The sequence below is a fragment of the Homo sapiens genome, chromosome 1 (assembly GCF_000001405.40).
Source record: "Homo sapiens chromosome 1, GRCh38.p14 Primary Assembly".
In the NCBI taxonomy this organism is placed as follows: Eukaryota; Metazoa; Chordata; class Mammalia; order Primates; family Hominidae; genus Homo; species Homo sapiens.
The window spans coordinates 241,914,005-241,935,549 of NC_000001.11; the positions used below are offsets into that span (position 1 = coordinate 241,914,005).

At 45.8% G+C, this 21,545-nt stretch overlaps 1 pseudogene, besides 2 other annotated features; it reads left to right on the plus strand.

Annotated features, from left to right (window-relative positions):
- Nucleotides 2,060–2,583, plus strand: RPL23AP20 (ribosomal protein L23a pseudogene 20; annotated as a pseudogene).
- Nucleotides 3,644–3,821: a silencer, noted in NCBI's record as "fragment chr1:242080950-242081127 (GRCh37/hg19 assembly coordinates)". NCBI's record gives its function as "represses an EF-1alpha promoter that drives an FKBP-Casp9 reporter gene in an ReSE screen in K562 erythroleukemia cells {active_cell/tissue: K562}" and the evidence as "EXISTENCE:reporter gene assay evidence [ECO:0000049][PMID:32094911]".
- Nucleotides 19,749–19,949: a silencer, noted in NCBI's record as "peak802 fragment used in MPRA reporter construct". NCBI's record gives its function as "represses an SCP1 promoter by STARR-seq MPRAs in K562 erythroleukemia cells {active_cell/tissue: K562}" and the evidence as "EXISTENCE:reporter gene assay evidence [ECO:0000049][PMID:32103011]".

The window sequence follows — 21,545 nt, forward strand, 5'->3', positions numbered from 1 at the left end:
CTCTGAGCAGAAATATGATTGGTTAGCCGATGAAGTCCTGGTTACTAAATATTTGGATGCAGTAGGTTCCAATATGTGAAAACGGAATATAAAAGAAAGCTATAACAGAGCTTAGCTTTTTATAACCTTAGGTGGCTTTAGTGTAGGTTTCAACATTTGTGGAAAGACATGACCACTTTTTTCTACTTGGAGAATAAAATAATTTTGCAAAGAAAAAAAATAAGACAGTAAGTGCTACATGAGCCTAAGATTGTCAAAGAAAAATTAGCATGGAAGGGAACACATCAAAGTATCACTAACCTTGCTCATACATTGCTGGCTGAAGTGTTATTTGGTAAAAGCTCCATTAAAAACAATTTGGCAATACCTATCAAAATTATGAATTCACATACCCTTGTATGCAGCAATTCTATTTATATGGGTATTTTATGATATGCTCATACATTTGAAGATAACATGTGTGAGCTTACTAATACAATTTTGTGTGAAAAAGTTTGAAAGTCAATTTAAAACATCTATCAGGGAGAACTTGTTAAATAATTATGATATTCGCCTAAATATTATGGAACTAAAAGAGAGAAAGAGGAAACTCTTCTTGAACTTTTGGAACAATCTCCAAAGTATATTTTGAGTGAAAAAACTTAGATGCATATATATTAAGTGGTTTGTATTTTCTATGCTACTGTATTAGTGCGTTGTTGAATTGGTATAAAAAAAAAATACTTGAGGTCGAACACAGTGGCTCACGCCTGTAATCCCAGCACTTTGGGAGGCCGAGGAGGGTGGATCACTTGAGGTCAGGAGTTGGAGACCAGCCTGGCCAACATGGTGAAACCTCATCTCTACTAAAAATACAAAAATTAGCCGGACGTGGTGGCACGCACCTGTAGTACCAACTACTCAGGAGGCTGAGGCAGGAGAATCGCTTGAACCTGGGAGGCAGAGGTTGCAGTGAGCTGAGATCCCGCCACTGCACTCCAGCCTGGGCGACAGAGCAAGACTCCATCTCAGAAAAAAAAAAAAAAAAATACCTGAGACTGAGTAACTTATAAAGAAAAGAGGTTTAATTGGTTCAGAGTTCCACAGGCTGAACAGGAAGCATGATACTGGCATCTGCTCAGCTTCTGGTGATGTCTCAGGAAGCTTCCAATCATGGTAGAAGGCAAAGGAGGAGTGGGGCAGGCCACATGGCGAAAGCAGGAGCAAGAGATGGGGGCAGTGCCACATACTTGTAAACACACAGATCTCCACCAGAACCCACTTACTGTCACAAGGACAGCATCAAGGGTATGGTACTAAACCATTCATGAGAAATCCATTCCCACTATCCAGTCACCTCCTGCCAGGCCTCATCTCCAACACTGGGGAGTGTATTTTAACATGAGGTTTGGGCAGGGACACAGATCCAAACCCTATCAGCTACTATTTGCTTTAAATAAAAGGGAGTCCTGGCCAGGTGTGATGGCTTATGCCTGTAATCCCAGCATTTTGAGAGGCCAAGGCGGGTGGATCACGAGGTCAGGAGTTCAAGACCAGGCTGGCCAAGATGGTGAAATCCTGTCTCTACTAAAAATACAAAAATTAGCCAGGCATGGTGGTGGGCACCTGTAATGCCAGCTACTGGGGAGGCTGAGGCAGAGAATTGCTTGAACCGGGAGACGGAGTTTGCAGTGAGCCAAGATTGTGTCACTGTACTCCAGCTTGGGCGATAGAGTAAGACTCCGTCTCAAAAATAAATAAAAATGGCAGGGCATGGTGGCTCACGCCTGTAATCCCAGCACTTTGGGAGGCTGAGGTGGGCAGACCACGAGGTCAGGAGTTTGAGACCAGCCTGGCCAATATGGTGACACCTCGTCTCTACCAAAAATACAAAAAAATTAGCCGGGGGTGATGGTGCCTGTAGTCCCAGCTACTCAGCTCGGAGGGCTGAGGCAGGAGAATCACTTGAATCCGGGAGGCAGAGGTTGCAGTGAGCCGAGATCGCACCACTGCACTCCAGCCTGGGCAACAGAGTGAGACTCCATCTAAAAATAATAATAATAAATAAATAAAAGGGGGTCCTTTGTGCAAGATGGCACAGAAGGCAAAGAAGGAAGCTCCTGCCCCCTCCTAAAGCCGAAGCCAAAGCGAAGGCTTTGAAGGCCAAGAAGGCAGTGCTGAAAGCCATCCACAGCCACACACAAAAAGGAACATCCACATGTCACCCACCTTCCTGCGGCCAGACACTGCACCTCCCGAAGACAGCCCAGATATCCTCAGACAAGCACCTCCAGGAGGAGCAGGCCTGACCACTGTGCCATCATCAAATTCCCGCAGACCACTGAGTCAGCCATGAAGAAGAGAGAAGACAACACACTTGTGTACATTGTGGATGTTAAAGCCAACAAGCGTCAGATCAAGCAGGCTGCGAGAAAGCTCACTAATACTAGTGTGGTCAAAGTCCACACCCCGATCAGGCTGATGGAGAGAAGAAGGCGTATGTTTACCTGGATCCTAATTACAATGCTTTGGGTATTGTCAGCAAAATTGGGATAATCTAAACTAAGTCTGGCTGGCTAATTCTAAAGATAGATAGATAGATATTTATATATATAAGAGAGAGATATATAAAAGTGGGTCAGACGGAACACACACACACACACATATATATATCTTTAGAATTAGCCAGCCAGACTTAGTTATATATATATTTTTTCACTGGAAAAAAATAATAGAATAAAATGAATAAAAGGGGTCAGAAGAAATATGCCTTCTTTCCAGTGTACTTTATCATATACATAAATGTAATTATGTTTTGGGAGAGAAAAGGGGTGGGTGAAATTTTTTTGTCTTTTTTTTTTTGAGAGAGGGTCTCACTCTGTTGCCCAGGCTGGAGTGCAGTGGAGTGACCTCGGCTCACTGCAACCTCTGCCTCCTGGGTTCAAGCGATTCCCTTGCCTCAGACTCCTGAGTAGCTGGGATTACAGGCACGCGCCACCATGCCTGGCTCATTTTTTTGTATTTTTAGTAGAGAAGGGATTTCACCATGTTGGCCAGGCTGGTCTCAAACTCCCGATCTCAAATGATCTGCCTGCCTCAGCCTCCCAAAATGCTGGGATTTCAGGCGTGAGCCGCTGCACCTGGCCAAAATTTTTTTATTGTGTACTTTTTTGTACCTCTTGAATTTGAAACGTAAGTAAATGTTATAATTAAAAATTTTTAAATTCATAATTAGAAATATAACCAACCTGCTGGAGCGTAAGCTTCATAGAGGTAAGGGACTGTGTCTGTCTTACATGCAGTTCTAGTCACAGCCCCCAGCACAGTGCCTCACATGGAGGAGTCATTTAATACTTGAATTAATAATGAACTGTTAATATTTAGTTGTGGCATTCCCGGAAATTTTTTGCAATTTTAAAATGTTCTCTTATATACAGATTTTGGATTTTTATAATCAGAAACACAATTTTTAAGTGGAAGGAGAAAACTCGGATGTAGCAGAGTCCTTAGTCCCAGCTCGGCCTCACGCCTCAGGAAGCCTTGTGCTTTTTGAATTGTTTCTTCAAAATGTTCTAAGACCCTTCCTTTGGCTGGAACCAGCCAGCGCTGGCAATGCTGTCTCAGCGGGGTGCCAGGGACACAGACCAGGTCCCGAGGTGCTCCGCCGCCCTCAGAGGGTCGACCAGATGCACCAAGAAGCTCCGGGGCTTGTGTCTGTTGGGTCATCCTGGCCCAACCTATGGCGGGGCCCTGGTTCCAGGAGGGCACCCAGAGAAGAGAGCTTCCCCTGGCTGGTGCAGCATTTCTCTCGTGCACTGTTGTACCGCAACATGGTACTGACACCTGATTTGGGGTGGTTCTTAGAGCAAAGGGTAAGATCAAGGATTGGCTACTGAGCCTTGAGCTTGAGTTCCAATGCAGCCTGTGCACCTGTTCTCACCTATGTTTGAACATTTTTTTTGTTTTTGTTTTTTGTTTTTGAGACAGAGTCTCACTCTGTCATCAGGCTGGAGTTCAGTGGCATGATCTCCGCTCACTGCAAACTCTGCCTCCCGGGTTCAAGCGATTCTCCTGCCTCAGCCTCCTGAGTAGCTGGGACTACAGGCGCATGCCATCACGCCCTGCTAATTTTTTGTATTTTTAGTAGAGACAGGGTTTCACCATGTTGGTCAGGCTGGTCTCGAACTCCTGACCTTGTGATCTGCCCTCCTTGGCCTCCCAAAGTGCTGGGATTACAGGCGTGAGCCACCACACCCGGCCCGACATTTTTTTCATTACATGGTTTACATAGACAGGAGCCTCACCAAAAACTACTTGCTGGGGCTCACACACCTCAGGGGTAGCCCTGCTGTGATGTAATCACCTGAATTATTTGAAAGATGTCAGTGAGAACAAGTGAAAGTACTTAACATTGTGACAGATCAAAGCAAATATTTTATTCTAGAAGAAAATGTCAGTAGATGGGAGAAGAGAACTAAGCCGCAAAGACCATACCTGCAAAATCTGGAGTCTGAGCCCAGTGAGAATTACAGTGGGCTAAAGTCAACCCTTTTATGGTGATTTTCTAAAAATATATAAAGATGTAACCAACCTTTAACTCCCTTACCCATTTTTGGCAACAGCTCAGAAAAGGCCACATCCCACCACAGTGATGAAGCAGCTTTGCACCCTTTGCCACATTATGTTATGGTACACACCCAGTTTGACAGTTATATTCTGCAGCTTAACTTTCTTCTATGTTTCTCTCCCCCCATCACACTCCAACACACATTTTCAAAGAAGTAATTTGAGCTTTAGAGAGCAGAGGGTCAGAGAGAGATTAGCCCAGGAAGAGCCAGCCTTAGGGATATAAAGTCAGCAGCTTCCTCCTAAAATCAGAGACTGAAATCCTCTCACTTTTCTACTCTTCTCTTTTCCTGTGCATTTCTCTGGAAATTCTGTATAATCCAGAGACAATGCTGTGCCTCATTGACCGAAAAGCCCCATGGCCCTTCCCTGCTCCAAATCAGTCCTTTCCCCTCCCTCCAGGGAGCCCCAGGAGACTGGAAGGAGTGGAGAGGCCCCTGATGAGGCATACCGGGTCCTTCCCTGATGTCCTGTGAGGACACAAAGGAAGCGAAGCTGTGACTCACGCCTTGCATCAGGCCAAGGCCCTACCATGTTCAGAAATCCAGCTGAGTCTGTTTTTCACTTTCATGAGTGCACACTGCATATTGTTTTGTTTTGTTTTTTGAGATGGAGTCTCACTCTGTTGCCCAGGCTGGAGTGCAATGGCGTGATCTCAGCTCACTGCAACCTCCACTTCCTGGGTTCAAGCAATCCTCCTGTCTCAGCCTCCTGAGTAGCTGGGATTACAGGTGCACGCCACCATGCCCAGTTAATTTTTGTATTTTTAGTAGAGACAGGGTTTCACCACATTGGTCAGGCTGCTCTCCAACTCCTGACCTCAGGTGATCCACCCACCTCGGCCTTCCAAAGTGCTGGAATTACAGGCATGAGCCATTGCGCCCGGCCCTACACTGCATATTGCATGAAAAATATAGTGTGGCCACGTGAGAAAACATGTATGCTGACACTGGCCGAGTGGGAAGGAGCAACAAGGATGAACTCCTATCGTTGATGGTTGGGTCCACCAGGCATTAGGAACACATACACTTTACAGAGCTGCATGTGATGTGAGGACGTTTGCCCAATTTCTTTCCACTGTTGCTCATGGTCTAACCCCTACAGTGGATTCTCTTGGTCCTCCTTAATCCACAGGAGTGAACCTTGTCCTCTACCAAACTGAGTGAGAGTTTGACAGGGTGGCCTGAATTGATTCTGAAATGCACTAGGGTGGGGAGCTGGGATGTGAAAATCCAGTCGTTTATAGGTGAGGGTAGAGGGGGGTGGATGCCAGCTGGGCAACCAGTGTCTGATCATCCACCAATGCTCATGATTGAACTAGCAGAGTCAACAAGCCACAAGGGTGGCGGCTGAAGGTCAGAACGGGGTGGGTCAGCCATGGGGAAGGCAGGCTCACAAATGTGCGAGGAAGCACACAAAAAACACTATTACTATATCATTTGTTCATGATGCCAAATGATATATTTTTTCCTTTTTTTTTTTTTTTTTTTTTTGAGACAAGGTCCCACTCCAACATCCAGACTGGAGTGCAGTGGCGTGATCACGATTAACTACAACCTCAGCTTCCTGAGCTCAGGTGATTCTCCCACCTCAGCCTCTGCAATATCTAGGACTACAGGTGTGTATCACTATGCCCAGCTAATTATATATATATATGTGTTTTGTTTTTTTTTCCTGAGACAGAGTTTCGCTCTTGTTGCCCAGGCTGGAGTACAATGGCACAAGCTCGGCTCACTGCAACCTCCACTTCCCAGATTCAAGCAATTTTCCCGCCTCAGCCTCCCAAGTAACTGGCATTACAGGCACACATCACTATGCCCGACTAATTTTCTGTATTTTTAGTAGAGACGGGATTTTACCATGTTGATCAGGCTGAACATGAACTTCTGACCTCGTGATCCACCCACCTTGGCCTCCACGAACTCCTGAACTTATGACTCCTGATCCACCCACCTCGGCCTCCCAAAGTGCTGGGATTATAGGCATGAGCCACTGCGCCCAGCCAATTTTTTATACTTTTTTTGGAAGGAACAGGATCTTGCTAAGTTGCCCAGGCTGGTCTCACACTCCTGGGATCAAGCAATACTCCCACCTTGGCCTCCCAAAGTGCTGGAATTACAGGCATGAGCCACGGCCCTAGGCTGATATATTTTTTTCATTTGTCAAAAAATATAAAAATGTATCTTTTGGATTTTTGTGGCACCTAACTGTGGGCCACTGTAGCAGAAGACTCAGCTCAGGTTTCTGCATCCAGGTGGGGAAGACAAACATGTACACAGAAAACTGCAATAGGGCCGGGTGCAGTGGCTCACACCTGTAATCCCAGCACTTTGGGAGGCTGAGGCAGGCGGATCACAAGGTCAGGAGATGGAGACCATCCTGGCCAACATGGTGAAACCCTGTCTGTACTAAAAATACAAAAATTAGCTGGGTGTGGTGGCACGTGCCTGTAATCCCAGCTACTCAGGAGGCTGAGGCAGGAGAATGGCGTGAACCCAGGAGGCAGAGGTTGCAGTGCGACGAGATCATGCCACTGTATTCCAGCCTGGTGACAGAGCAAGACTCTGTCAGAAAGAAAAGAAAAGAAAGAAAGAAGGAAGGAAGGAAGGGAAGAAAGGAAGAAAGAAAGGAAGGAAAGGAAGGAAAGAAAAGGAAAGGAAAGAAAAGAAAGAAAAAGGAAAACGGCAACAGAGTGTTCTAGGCAGGATGATACAGAGGGCCTGATATGGAATGGTGGGGCTGCAATGGGGAGAGTAGCCAGTTGTGCCTGGGCTTGGAGTCGGAGTAGAGGGGCAGGTGAGTTTTCATGCAGAACATGGCACTTGAGTGGAATCTTCCAAGACGAGGAAGTAACTGCAGATGATGAAGAGTCTAGAGATTAATTCTTAGTCTAGGGAGCAGATGGGGCAGAGGAGGAACATAAAGAAACAGCATGGGCCAGGTGTGTTGACTCACGCCTGTAATCCCAGCACTTTGGGAGGCCAAGGCAGGCAGATCACCTGAGGTTGGGAGTTCGAGACCAGCCTGACCAACATGGAGAAACCCCATCTCTACTAAAAATACAAAATTAGCTGGGCGTGGTGGCGGGTGCCTATAATCCCAGCTACTCAGGAGCCTGAGGCAGAAGAATTGCTTGAATCCGGGAGGCGGAGATTGTGGTGAGCCGAGATCGCACCATTGCACTCCAGCCTGGGCAACAAGAGAGAAACTCTGTCTCAGAAAAAAAAAACAAAAAAAAACAAAAATAGAAACAGTATGACCTGTAAGAAGAGGGGTGGTTTAGCTAGTGTGGGACTCACCCCGTGTGTTAAAGTGGAAAAGAGACAGCAGAGACGGAGCTAAAGAGGGAGGGATGAGAAAGGGCTTTAGGTTTACACTTCCCCCTCGATGAGCAAGAGGCTACCACAAATCATGGCTTTGCATTTTATTTTCATTTTTTAACATTAGAAAATTCTATTAACCAGACATGGTGGCATGCGCCTGTAATCCCAGCTACTCAGGAGGCCGGGGCAGGAGAATCACTTGAACCCGGGAGGCGCATGTTGCAGCGAGCCGAGTTCACACCACTGCACTCCAGCCTGGCAACAAGAGCGAAACTCCGTCTCAAAAAAAAAAAAGAAAATTCTATTTAGATTGAAATACAGCATACAAAGTTATTGTGCCACACTAAAAATAACAGCAACATTTTCGATATGATTCCTAGATAAGCCATGAAACAGTAATTTTTGCAAACTTTTCAGTTTATGGAAGAGAATCTACAGTTATAAATCAAAACAAGGCAGCCGATACAGCCATGGGAAGATCTCTGCCTTGGAGTTTTTTTTTTTTTTTTTTTTTTTTTTGAGACAGAGTTCCGCTCTGTCACCCAGGCTGGAGTGCAGTGGCACAATCTCAGCTCACTGCAACCTCCACCTCCTGGGCCCAAGTGATCGTCCCACCTCAGCCTCCCAAGTAGCTGAGACTGTAGGGGTGCACCACCACTCCCGGCTAATTTTTGTATTTTTGGTAGAGACGGAGGTTCACCATGTTGGCCAGGCTGGTCTCAAACTCTTGACCTCAAGTGATCCACCCACCTTGGCCTCCCAAAGTGCCGGGATTATAGGAGTGAGCCACAGTGCCAGGCTGGATTTTTTTTTTTTTTAATCACAGTAGAAGCAATAGAGGGTGTGGACTGCAGAGCACCAACATAAGAGAACAGGCCAAGGAGGACTTCGGGGAGGGAGCTGGGTAGTCATGGTCAGAGAGTTGGCCAAAGAGTCTGCCTGGAGTAAGAGATTCAGAAAAATCAAGTAGAAGAATGCTGAGAAGAGAGAGGCCATCAGTGTCACTGAGGGTGAGGCTGAGGGCAGGTCAAGCGAACATGCACCGAAGAAGAATTTGGCAATTGGGAGATCACGGGGAATTTTAGAAAGAATTTTCAGCGGGGCGCGGTGGCTCATGCCTGTAATCCCAGCACTTTGGGAGCCTGAGGCAAGCAGATCACTTGAGGTCAGGAGTTTGAGACAAGCCTGACCAACATGGTAAAACCTCGTCTCTACTAAAAATACAAAAATTAGCTGGGCATGGTGGTGCATGGCTATAATCCCAGCTACTCAGGAGGCTGAGGCAGGAGAATCACTTGAACCCAGGAGGCAGAGGTTTCAGTGAGCCCAGATTGCACCACTGTACTCCAGCCTGGGAGGCAGAGCCAGACTCGGTCTCAATAAAAAAGAATTGTCACTGAATGGCATGCTGGAGGGGAAGCCCTAGGGCGGCAGGGACTAGAAGTTTGGGGAAGGAGTGAGGAGGAAGAGCGAGTGACAGAAGACAAAGGTTTTAAGGATCTTCCTGGAAGAAGGTAGCTAGCAGGTAAGGTTTTGAAGCAGTGAAGGACCTGAAAATCTTTGAAGTTGAGAGAAAGAAGTCAGGATAGGAGGGAAAAGGTTAAATAACAGCAGGGTGAGTGGGGGCTGCTGAACTGAAGGGATCTAATTAAGACGAAAAGTAAGGGCTTATTCCTGAACAGGAGGGAAGGCATCTCCTCTGGGAATCCAGAGAAGGCAGAGAAGGTAGAGGAAGGCTGTAATTTTGAGCACTGGGGCAGGACCAGGAGTGACTTGGCTTCTTATCACACTTTTCTAAAAGTTTAATATTATTTCCAAATTAAAATTTTTTTAATTATGAAGCATTCAGAGGTAATCACATCCATCACTAATTATTATTATTTTTAAACAAAAATAGAATAATCACTATTTTGACCATCTTGCTTTCTTTGTCTACATATCATGTTGATCTCTCTAGTATATACACATCTACTTCCTTCATTTCTTTTTCCCTTTTTTTTTTTTCTTTGAGACAGAGTTTCGCTCTTGTTGCCCAGGCTGGAGTTCAATGGCACAATCTCGGCTCACTACAACCTCCACCTCCCGGGTTCAAGAAATTCTCCTGCGTCAGCCTCCTTAGTAGCTGGGATTACAGGCATGCGCCAACATGCCCAGCTAATTTTGTATTTTTAGTAGAGATGGGGTTTCTCCACGTCGGTCAGGCTGGTCTCGAACTCCCAACCTCAGGTGATCCACTGGCCTCGGCCTCCTAAAGTGCTGGGATTACAGGCGTGAGTCACTGTGCCCGGCCTTACTTCCTTCATTCCTATAGCTGGGTACTATTGCTTTGTCTGGATGAGCCACAATTTACGTCATCCACCTTAATGAACCTGGACCTGCCTATAGATTTTGCTGTTGCAAATAACAATGCGTGGGATAGAACCACAGGCACAGGCTTTGGAGCAAGCACTGACCAGGGTTTGCTCATTGCAAGTGGAATGACCTTGAGCATGTTTTTCTTTCCAAGCCTCAGTTTTATCATTTATAAAGTGAACACTAACAATAGTACAGTTGGCCCTTGAACAACACGGGTTTGAACTGCGTGGGCTCATTTGCACTTGGATTTTCTTCTGCCTCTGCTGACCCTGACAGAGCAAGACCAACCCCCCCTTCCTCTTCCTCCTCAGCCTACTCAGTGTGAAGATGATGAGGATGAAGACCTTTATGAAGACTCAGTTCTGCTTAATCAATAGGAAATATATTTTCTCTTCCTTATGATTCTCTTAGTAACATTTTCTTTTCTCTAGCTTACTTCATTGAGAATACAGTATGTAATACATATAACATACAAAATATAAGTTAATTGACTGCTTATGTTATCAGCAAAGCTTCCAGTCAACAGTAGGCTATTAGCAGTTAAGTTTTGGGGAAGTCAAAAGTTAAACTTGGATTTTCAGCAGGAGGAGGGTTCATTACCCCTCACCCCCATGTTATTCAAGGTAAACTACACATTGCTTTAGTGGCCATGAGAATTCAATGATGCTAAAGTATTGTACATAGAACCTGTCATAAAGCAAGCCTAGACTCATAACATTGATTATGAATGTCATCTCTGTGCCTCTGTATAGATTGTTTGTTGTTGTTGTTGTTGTTGAGACAGGGTCTTACTCTGTCGCCTGGGCTGGAGTGCAATGGCTTAATCATGGCTCACTGAAGCCTCAACCTCCCAGGCTCAAGCGATTCTCCCACCTCAGCCTCCCAAGTAGCTAGGACTACAGGCACACGCCACCACGCCCAGCTAATCGTTGTGTTTTTTCTAAAGACGGGGTTTCGCCTTGTTGCCCAGGCTGGTCTCAAACTCCTGGGCTCAAGTGATGCTCCTGCCAGCCTCCCAAAGTGCTAGGATTATAGGCATGAGCCACTGCATCTAGCCTCTTCAGAGATTTGTATTTGGATTGCCTTGGAATAAGTTTCTAGAAAAGGTGGAATTGCTGGGTAAAGGATATGAACATTTTAAAGCATGATAAATATGACTGACTCTCTCTACAAAACTGTTATACTTTATACTCACATCAAAAGTGCCTATCCCTCATTTTATCATCTACACCGGAAATAGAAATCTTTACAAATATTTATCAGTCTAGCAGGTGGAAAAATTGCCCGATACTGTTTTATTCTGCATGTCTTTTGTTTTCCAGCATCTTGTCAAGTGTCTACTGGCAATTCTCACTTTCTCTTTAGTGAATTCTGCTTCTTTCGGGTTGGGAAGGCATTCATCATTTTTCCACTGATTTGCAAGAGTATTTGTATATTATAGAAATTCCTCTGCCATGGCTGCTGCAAAAAAAAAAATGTGCCTTTTCTTTTGATTTTGTTTAAGGTTTGCTTTTTAAATAGACATTTTAAAATTTATATGACATTAACTTTTTCAGCCTTTTCCCTTGTTGCTTCTGGGATTCATGCCTGTCTTAGAAAAACTGTTTTATTTTGTGATTATACGCTAATGCTTTGTGGCTTTGCTACTACTGTTAAGATTGTGTTTATTTTACATTTAAATATTCCATCCATCTGGAATTTATTTTAGTATAATAAGAGAGGGAAGGATCAGCTTCCAAATGCTTGAACACCTATGTTTCCAAGCCACGTATTGAGGAATTCATCTCTTGGCCTCTCCACTCCAACCTGAATCTCTCTGATTGCTGTATTCAGCTGTCCCAGCTGGAGAAACCACACTGAACTCTTCAAGGGCAAAAGCCAAGGTTTGACTTTGCTCCCTCTGATCCCTGCTAGTGTACCTAGCAGCGTGCTGAGCACATAACAACTGCCCACAGGATGAGATGGTAAACTGGAGAACTTGCTTGGCAATCACAAGAAAACAGGGCAGTGGTGGTGAGATCTGGGATGCGTGCTTTCAAGGTGATGGCATCATGGAGGGAAACCACCTTTTTCCTGTGCTTGCTTCCTTGCATTTGTCACCCCTTCCTTTTTCCCTCCACATCCCCACAAGTCACACAGTGAGGAACCAGAAACACAGCAACTTTTGGCTTTTGGCACAGCGAGGCTGGGGTCCCCAGCTTCTCTCGGTCTCACTGAGTGTTGGACTTACAACAACGGTCCTGACATCAAGATATTCTGCGGGAAATCGGGTGAGAGGGTGGGAGGGGAGGGAGGAATCACAAATAAAGATTTGGTTTTGTCCATTAAGAGTTGAAAAGAAAGTTGTTCATAGCCTCGGGCTTGCTTGTTGATTTCATGTGGCCAAGTGTCCCACTGGGGGAGTTTGCAGGCACATGGACTTGATTTTTTGCGGGGTCATAGTTTCTTAACCTTCCTCCAGTTCATTCCCTGCCTGCGTTCTCTTCTCTCACTGTTCTCTAAGTTGGGCATGTTAGGTTTCTTTTTCCTTTTTTTTTTTTTTTTTTTTTTTTTGAGACAGAGTCTCACTCTGTCGCCCAGGCTGGAATGCAGTGGTGCGATCTTGGCTCGCTGCAACCTCCACCTCCTGGCTTCAAGCAATTCTCCTGCCTCAGTCTCCTTAGTAGCTGGAATTACAGGCATACACCACCACATCTGGCTAATTTTTGTATTTTTAGTAGAGATGGGGTTTCACCATGTTGGCCAGGCTGGTCTCGAACTCCTGGCTGGTCTTGAACTCCTAACCTTGTGACCCGCCTGCCTCGGCCTCCCAATGTGTGGGGATCATAGTCATCATGCCCTGCTGGGCATGTTAGGTTTCTAAGTGTGTATACCATGCTCTTCAACCAACAAAGAGGCGCCTGGTTCTCCATCATTTTCTCCAAAACTCTCCAGGGTTAGACAGACTGAGTTTCTCTCATAGCAGATGAACCCAAGTTACCTGAGTTCTAGAGTCCAGAGGCCTGGGCAGTAAGACCACTCTGCTTTTCCTTCCCCTCCCTTGGAAAAGTACACTCTTTATACTTCTCCTTCCATCCTGCTTCCAGCTCAAGTTAAGATCAATTCCACCAGGATGATTTGAGCACATACATAAGCCGGCACCATATGAAGAGACAGTGTGGAGTCTTGCAAAGAATCCACACATGCTTAATAATCAGACAGACCTAGGTTCAAAGGTCGGGTCTGCCTCTGTGCTTTTGGCAGAGTTACTTAACCTGTCTGTGTCAATTTCTTTATCTGTTAAAACTGTAGACCTTGTCCCAGTACTTTCAGCCCAGGGCTGACTTCGTGAGTATATGACCTGGGCAGTCACGCAGGACCTGCACTTACAGGAGCCCCTTACTTTAACACTCTGCTCTTGCTGTCTTGAAATTCAGAATAATTTTTTTTTTTGAGATGGAGTCTCGCTCTTTTGCCTAGGCTGGAGTGCAGTGGCATGACCTTGGCTCACTGCAACCTCCACCTCCCGGGTTCAAGCGATTCTCCTACCTCAGCCTCCCAAGTAGCTGGGATTACAGGTACCTGCCACCATGACCGGCTAATTTTTGTACTTTTAGTAGAGATGGGGTTTGCCATGTTGGCCAGGCTGGTCTTGAACTCCTGGCCTCAGGTGATCCTCCCGCCTTGGCCTCCCAAAGTGCTGGGATTACAGGTGTGAGCCACCGCACCCGGCCCAGAATAATTTTTTTTGAGACACAGTCTTGCTCTGTCACCCAGGCTGGAATGCAGTGGTGTGATCTTGGCTCACTGTAACCTCTACCTCCTGGGTTCAAGCAAGTCTCCTGCCTCAGCCTCCCGGGTAGCTGGGATTACAGGCGCCCACCACCATGTCCAGCTAATTTTTGTATATTTACTAGAGATGGAGTTTTGCCACGTTGGCCAGGCTGGTCTCGAACTCCTGGCCTCAAGGCGATCCTCCCGCCTTGGCCTCCCAAAGCGCTGGGATTACAGGTGTGAGCCACCGCGCCTGGATCAGAATGATTTTGTAACCCACAGCCGTGCATGTTCAGTTTGCACTGGTCCCTACACACGATGTCACTGGCTCCATCTAAGCGGAGTCTTATTGTGAAAAGAGCCGCACGCAAGTGAGTGAGGTCTGTCCATCGTCAGGGCAGTTACTACAGTCTGTCAATGAGAAGACTCAGAATCTCATCTCATTGTGCAGACAGATGGGAGTTTCTATCAACTCACCATGCGTGAAGGGTCACATTGCTCTTTCCCATCCATGCAACCTTAGAAAATCTCAGTATCTCCGGCTGGGCGCAGTGGCTCACGCCTGTAATCCCAGCACATTGGCAGGCCAAGGCGGGCGGATCATGAGGTCAGGAGATCGAGACCATCCTGGCTAACACGGTGAAACCCCGTCTCTACTAAAAATACAAAAAAATTAGCCGGGCGTGGTGGCGGGCGCCTGTAGTCCCATCTACTTGGGGCAGGAGAATGGCGTGAACCTGGGAGGCGGAACTTGCTGTGAGCTGAGATTGCGCCACTGCACTCCAGCCTCGGCGACAGAGCGAGACTCCATCTCAAAAAAGAAAAGAAAAGAAAATCTCAGTATCTCTGGTGCCTGAGGTTTATCATTTATAAGAGTAGATGATAAAAATATTTATCCTGTGAGTCTCTGTGATCTGCCTGTTTGTGTCCCCCCCAAATTCATAGGTTGAAACCTAACCCCCCAGGGTGATGGTATTAGGAGGTTGAGGACTTTGGGAAGTGACTAAAGATGGAACCCACCATGAATGAGATTAGTGCCCTTTTAAAAGAGACCCCAGAGAGCTGGCCAGCCCCTCCACCATTTGCAGGTACAGTGAGAAGACATCCATCTATGAACCAGGACATGAGCCCTCACCAGACACCAAATCTGCTGGCACCTTGACCTTGGATTCCCCAGCCTCCAAAGCTGTGAGAAATGTTTGTTGTTGAAGCCACCCAGTCTGATATTTATGTTATAGCAACCCAAATGGACTAAGATGTGGGTTTGGGAGAGGATTAAATGAGGTAATACATGGAATGTTCTTAGAACAGTGTTTAGCACATAGTAAGCTATTCATATTCTTAGTATCATATATTTTAAAGTTATGCTGCCTAAAGGTGTGTTTTAGGTTAAGTATTACACTATGAATACAGAGTAATAGTTATACACTTTTTAGGTTAAGAAACTTTAAGAGGTCAGGCATGGTGGCACACATCTGTAATCCCAGCATTTTGGGAGGCCAAGGTGGGCGCAGAGCTTGAACCCAGGAGTTTGAGGTCAGCCTGGGCAACACAGGGAGACCCTGTCTCTACAAAAAGGTACAAAAGTTAGCTGGGAGTGATGGTGGTGCACACCTGTAGACCCAGCTACTTGGAGGGCTGAGGTGGGAGCATCGCTTGAGCCTGGGATGTCAAGGCTGCAGTGAGCCATAATTGCACCACTGCACTTCAGCCTAGGCAACAGAGTGAGACCATGTCTCTAAAAAAATGAAAAAAGAAACTTTCAGGCCAGGTATGGTGGCTCACACCTGTAATCCTAGCACTTTGGGAGGCCAAGGAGGGTGGATCACTTGAGGTCAGGAGTTTGAGACCAGCCTGGTCAACAGGGTGAAACCCTGTCTTTAGTAAAAATACAAAAATTAGCTGGGTGTGGTGGAAAGCACCTGTAATCCCAGCTACTCAGGAGGCTGAGGCAGGAGAATTGCTTGAACCTGGGAGGTGGAGGTGGCACTGAGCCGAGATCGCACCACTGCACTACAGCCTGGGTGACAGAGCGTGACTCAGTCTCAAAAAAAAAGAAACTTTCAGAATATGATAGCATAGGAACAAACAATTGACAGAAAAAGAAATCCAAATGGCCAATAAAGATCTGAAAAGTTGTTAAGACAAGGTGATATGAAAAAGGAAAAAAAATAAAAATAATTTTTAAGAAGATATGAAAAGATGTTTCACATTTTATATAACTAAAGGAATTAAAAATTAAAATGGTTGTGAGATCATTATTTTTCACTTGTTTCACGGGAAAAAATTTAAAGGATAATTACTATTCAGTGTTAGCTGGGGTATGGGAAAACAGGCAGTCTCAAGCGTCATTGAAGAGGAGTACAAATTTGTTCATCATTTTAGAAGAATAATATGGCAATGCTTATCTAAATTTTATGCCAATAATCTCAATCCAAAGAGAACATACTTACAGTGGTTGTAAAAATATATTCATTCACGCATTCACTCATTCATCAGATATGTATTGGGCAGTGTAACAAACAACCATAATAAAGGAATGAGGCTGGGCGTGGTGGCTTATGCCTGTAATCCCAGCACTTTGGGAGGCGGAGGCGGACGAATCACCGGAGGTCAGGAGTTCGAGACCAGCCTGGACAACATGGTGAAACCCCGTCTCTACTAAAAATACAAAAATTAGCCTGGTGTGGTGGCAGGCATCTGTAATCCTAGCTACTCAGGAGGCTGAGGCATAAGAATCGCTTGGACCTCGGAGGCAGAGGTTGCAGTGAGCCGAGACGATTCCACAACACTCCAGCCTGGGTGACAGAGTGAGATGCCATCTCAAAAAAAAAAAAAGAAAAAAGAAAAGGAAAAAGGAATGAGGCTGGGGGCTGTGGCTCACACCAGGAACCCCAGCTCTTTGTGAGGCCAAGGTGGGAGGATCACTCGAGCCCAGAAGCTGAAGACCAGCTTGAGCTACATAGCGAGGACCCATCTCTATGCATATACATTATTAAATAAAGGAATGAAATGTTTTTTCTTGTTATCATCTGTGTACTGGAGTATTCCAGATCTGCAAAGAAGTGAGAAGATCTACATGGATCTTCTCTAGAACCTGATATACCTGGTGTTTTAAGTGGAAATAAAATGACATAAGTGTATATATTAATGTTCTCATTTTTATAATAAACGAAGGCTGAAATGTACGCATGTACTTTTGCATGAACATTTGGAAAAATCTGGAGATACACAACCAAGTGTTATGCATGGTTGTGGCAAGGGGATTGGAAAGCCAAACAATGCTTTACATAGGAAAAAGAGAATGTAATAGGTCAGTGGATTTCCAGTGTTTTTCCCAAGGTTTTAGAGAGCAAAAGAAGTATTCTGGTTCTCTTCACAGTAGAATTCTAAGGTACTAATCATGGAATCTGCAAGCAATCTTCTGGTTATAAAGTTATTTCCCACATAAATAGGTCTGTAGGGAGAGAATGTTCTGATCACAATGATGATTTGATTGTTTTTATTCATGTAGTGTTTTGTGTTGTGGTTTTGACATTGGCCTGTTGTGAGCTCTGAAGGCAAAGGCATAAGTCCATCAATGAGTAATGGAAGATGAAATAAAATGCCATATGTGGCCGGGTGCGGTGGCTCACGCCTGTAATCCCAGCACTTTGGGAGGCCAAGGTGGGCGGATCATGAGGTCAGGAGATTGAGACCATCTTGGCTAACACGGTGAAACCCCATCTCTACTAAAAATACAAAAAAACAGCCAGGCGTGGTGGTGGGTGCCTGCAGTCCCAGCTACTTGGGAGGCTGAGGCAGGAGAATGGCGTGAACCCGGGAGGCAGAGGCTGCAGTGAGCCGAGATCGCAGCACTGCACTCCAGCCTGGGCGACAGAGCAAACTCTGTCTTAAAAAAAAAAAAGCCTTTAAAGAATTGCAAGCAATGAGGTGAAATAATCCAAATAACACATTGGCACATTAAGGACATTGTTGTCACTGTGCAAGAAAGGACAGAAGGCAGGAGTGGATGGAGGAGTCCAGGCTGCACTAGGCTTGGGTAAGCCAGCGCAGGGGAAGAGCGGGCCAATTCCACGTCCGATTTGGAGTTAAATTTTCAGGGCTTGCTGAGGGAGGGAATGTGGGTTTGGGGAAAAGCAAGAAATCCAGGGTGAAGCACTGTGTAAGGTCTGACCCACTGCTTTAATGGACTCCGCTGTCATGACTGAGGCAGAAAGTTTACCTGCAGGGACAGGGGTGGGAAGTCTAAATTCCAGAGGGAAAACCAACAGTTTCTTTTTGGGCCTCCTAGGTTTAAATATCTATGCAACATCCAAGTGAGGCTGCCATGTAAACCACTGGATTTAAGAGTACGGAGCTGCTGGGCACGGTGGCTCACGCCTGTAATCCCAGCACTTTGGGAGGCCAAGGTGGGCAGATCACTTGAGGTCGGGAGTTTGAGACCAGCCTGACCAACATGGTGAAACCCCGTCTCTACAAAAATACAAAAATTAGTTGGGCGTCGTGGCGGGTGCCTGTAATCTCAGCTACTTGGGAGGCTGAGGCAGGAGAATCACTTGAACCCAGGAGGCAGAGTTTGCAGTGAGCCAAGATTGTGCCATTATACTCCAGCCTAAGCAACAGAACAAGACTCTTTCTCCAAAAATTAAAAAAAAATAAAAAAAATAAACAGAATCCAAGAACTAGGAAGGAGGTATGAGTTAAGAAAAGTAGAAATAGGAGGGAAAAAAATGACAGGAATCCAGAGGCACACAGATCTCCAAGCAATTATTTGAATTCAAATATAACGCAGTTGGAGAATGACTCCTGCTGTCTGCCAAGGCCTGTCCTCAAATAGATGTAGGCTAAAGCAACATCACCTTTAGACCTGGGCAAGATAAGCCCCTGCCCTGGGCCCTTGATTTAGAGGCCACTGCTCTGGGCGCCCCCAGCACATGCCTCCGTCCCCATCAAGCTGAGTGACAGGCCCACCCAGAAGCCGTGCCCCTTCTGAACAATGCCAGGATACTGTGACCCCAGAATGACCTACCAAAATAGGCACAGCCCACTTCCAGGGCCTACGTGGGCCCCTTCCCTGCCTGAGCAAGCCACATCACGCGGTGCTACAGCTGAAAGCCAGAATGACAGGGTAGGTAGGGGGACCACAGCTGTGAACTGGGAAGAGCTCCTCCCACCACCCACTACCACATCCTGATGCAGAACACCAAGGACTCCAAGAATTCTCAATTCAAACCTGGCCTTCCAGGTTTTTATGAAGGTATATTATTCAAAGCAGAAGCATAGAACATTCTATTTAAATGTCTCTTTTGATTTAAAGTATTAACTATGGTTATTAAATGCAGGCTGCTCTTAGTTCCTAGCTTCAAGTATTCCATCCCACCTCAGCCTCCTGAGGAGCTGGGATTATAGGTGTGAGCCACCAGGTGCTCATTCCTACCTTTTTTTTTTTTTCTTTTTTGAGACAGAGTCTTGCTCTGTTGCCCAGGCTGGAGTACAGTGGTGGGATCTCGGCTCACTGCAACCTCTGCCTCCCGGGTTCAAGCAATTCTCATACCTCAGCCTCCCAAGTAGGGGGGACAACAGGTACCTGCTACCATGCCTGGCTAATTTTTGTATTTCTTTAGTAGAGTCGAGGTTCCACCAGTTGGCCAGGCTGGTCTCGAGCTTCCAACCTCAAATGATCCCCCCACCTTGGCCTCCCCAAGTGCTGAGATTATAGGTGTGAGCCACCACTCCCAGCCTCATTCTTAATCTTAACCTGGGAATTATCATGCTGGGATTGGGGCTAACGCTCTTAAAATCCTTATCTCGGTCAACCAGTAGAACATAGAAGAACGTCAGGACAGGTCTGAGAAAGAGCAGGCAGCCAGTCTTGGAAATCAGAAAGGGCTAGGCTCCAAAGTTCCCGGAGTTTCCAGCCTCACTCTTCCTAGAGTCACGGCAGCCATCTAGAAAGTTCCAGCCAGTAACAGGAATCCAGAATTTTCTCCATGAGTAAACTACAGTGAACCAGGTGGTGCCTACCCAGCATTTGAGGGTCTAGACATGGGCCAGCCGTGGATTGTTTGTCAATAAGCATGTTAAAGCCCAAACAACTTTAAAGCTCTGAATAAGTGTATCTAAATCTTCTGAAAAGCCAGCACGGAGGGCAGGGGGTTAGATACAGATGTGGAGAGAAAAGTGGCTGGGAAAATTAAATGAGTCTCTTTGATGTGAATGCTAACCCAAAAGATCCCGAATCAATCACCCCAGAGGAAAGAGCTGCCGAGACCTTGAAAACAACATTCCTCCGAACTCCTGGTGCTGCCATGGCAACTGGAGGGCTGAATGAGGTCATCTCAAAGCAGGGCAAGTGGCTCAGGTGGACCACGGGAGCAGAGACTGGGCGTGAGGACTCAAACCACCAGGAGGGAAATGAAAACCACGGCAGCGAAAAGGATGGAATTGCCGGTAACAGAATAAAATTCTTCACAGCTGTGAAGCTACAGTCACAACATTTTAGCAGAGCTTTTGGCTGGAAAAGTCGGAAAAAGGCACTGAATTGATTTTACTGTTGCATGTGTCTTTCATCAGTGGATACGAAAACACTTTACTCACACCAAGCACCTTGTCCAGGGAGCAGTTGCCTTCATTTCTAGGAGTGTCACAGCGGAGTCAGTGATTCATGCTAATGGGGAACATGGAATATATGAATAAAGACATTTCATGGGAAATGGTCCTGGTGCTAAACATTTGTAAACTCATTTGAGTCCCCGAAATCAAACCCTCTGTTTTACCAAATTTGTTTCTGACCTCATAAATAAAAATATAAGGTCAAAGAAAAATTACCTCTCAAAGCCACATTGATTGTGCAAAACCAAAAAATTAAATTAAAACTGAAGAATCTTAGTAAGGGAACGGTTGGAAACCTGGCTTAGCTAAGGTAGAGGGGCGAAGGCAGGAACAGCTACAGACAAGCACGCCATGTCCACTCTGCAGCTGAAATCACATGGTTTCTTGGAAGGCTCACAAGACTGAAGTTGCCTTCCCTGACAACTCGGTCAGTCTGCTCAAGGGCAAACGACTCTCCCGGACAGCATTCAGCCTGAAAATGAGGAAAGCAGCCCCTAATACCAAGAGCTGGCCTGGCACACACAGCTAGGCTGTGGCGTTCTCCCAACAAACACAATAATTTCATAGAACACTGACAATCAGGAAAGACCACTCTGTGACAGAGGTGGATCAGCACAAAACCAAGACTACTCTGTCACCAAGTTGGAGCACAGACAAAAGCAAGAATGTCATCCAGACCACAAATGACCAAGTAGCTTCTTATCCTGGCTAATGAGTGACTGCTCTGACTGGCTACAGCTTCAGTCACAATCTGTTATTCCCATCTTCCAGATAAGAATTATTATCATTATTATTATTATTATTTAAGATGGAGTTTCACTCTTGTTGCCCAGGCTGGAGTGCAATGGCACCATCTTGGCTCACCTCAACCTCCACCTCCCAGGTTCAAGCTAT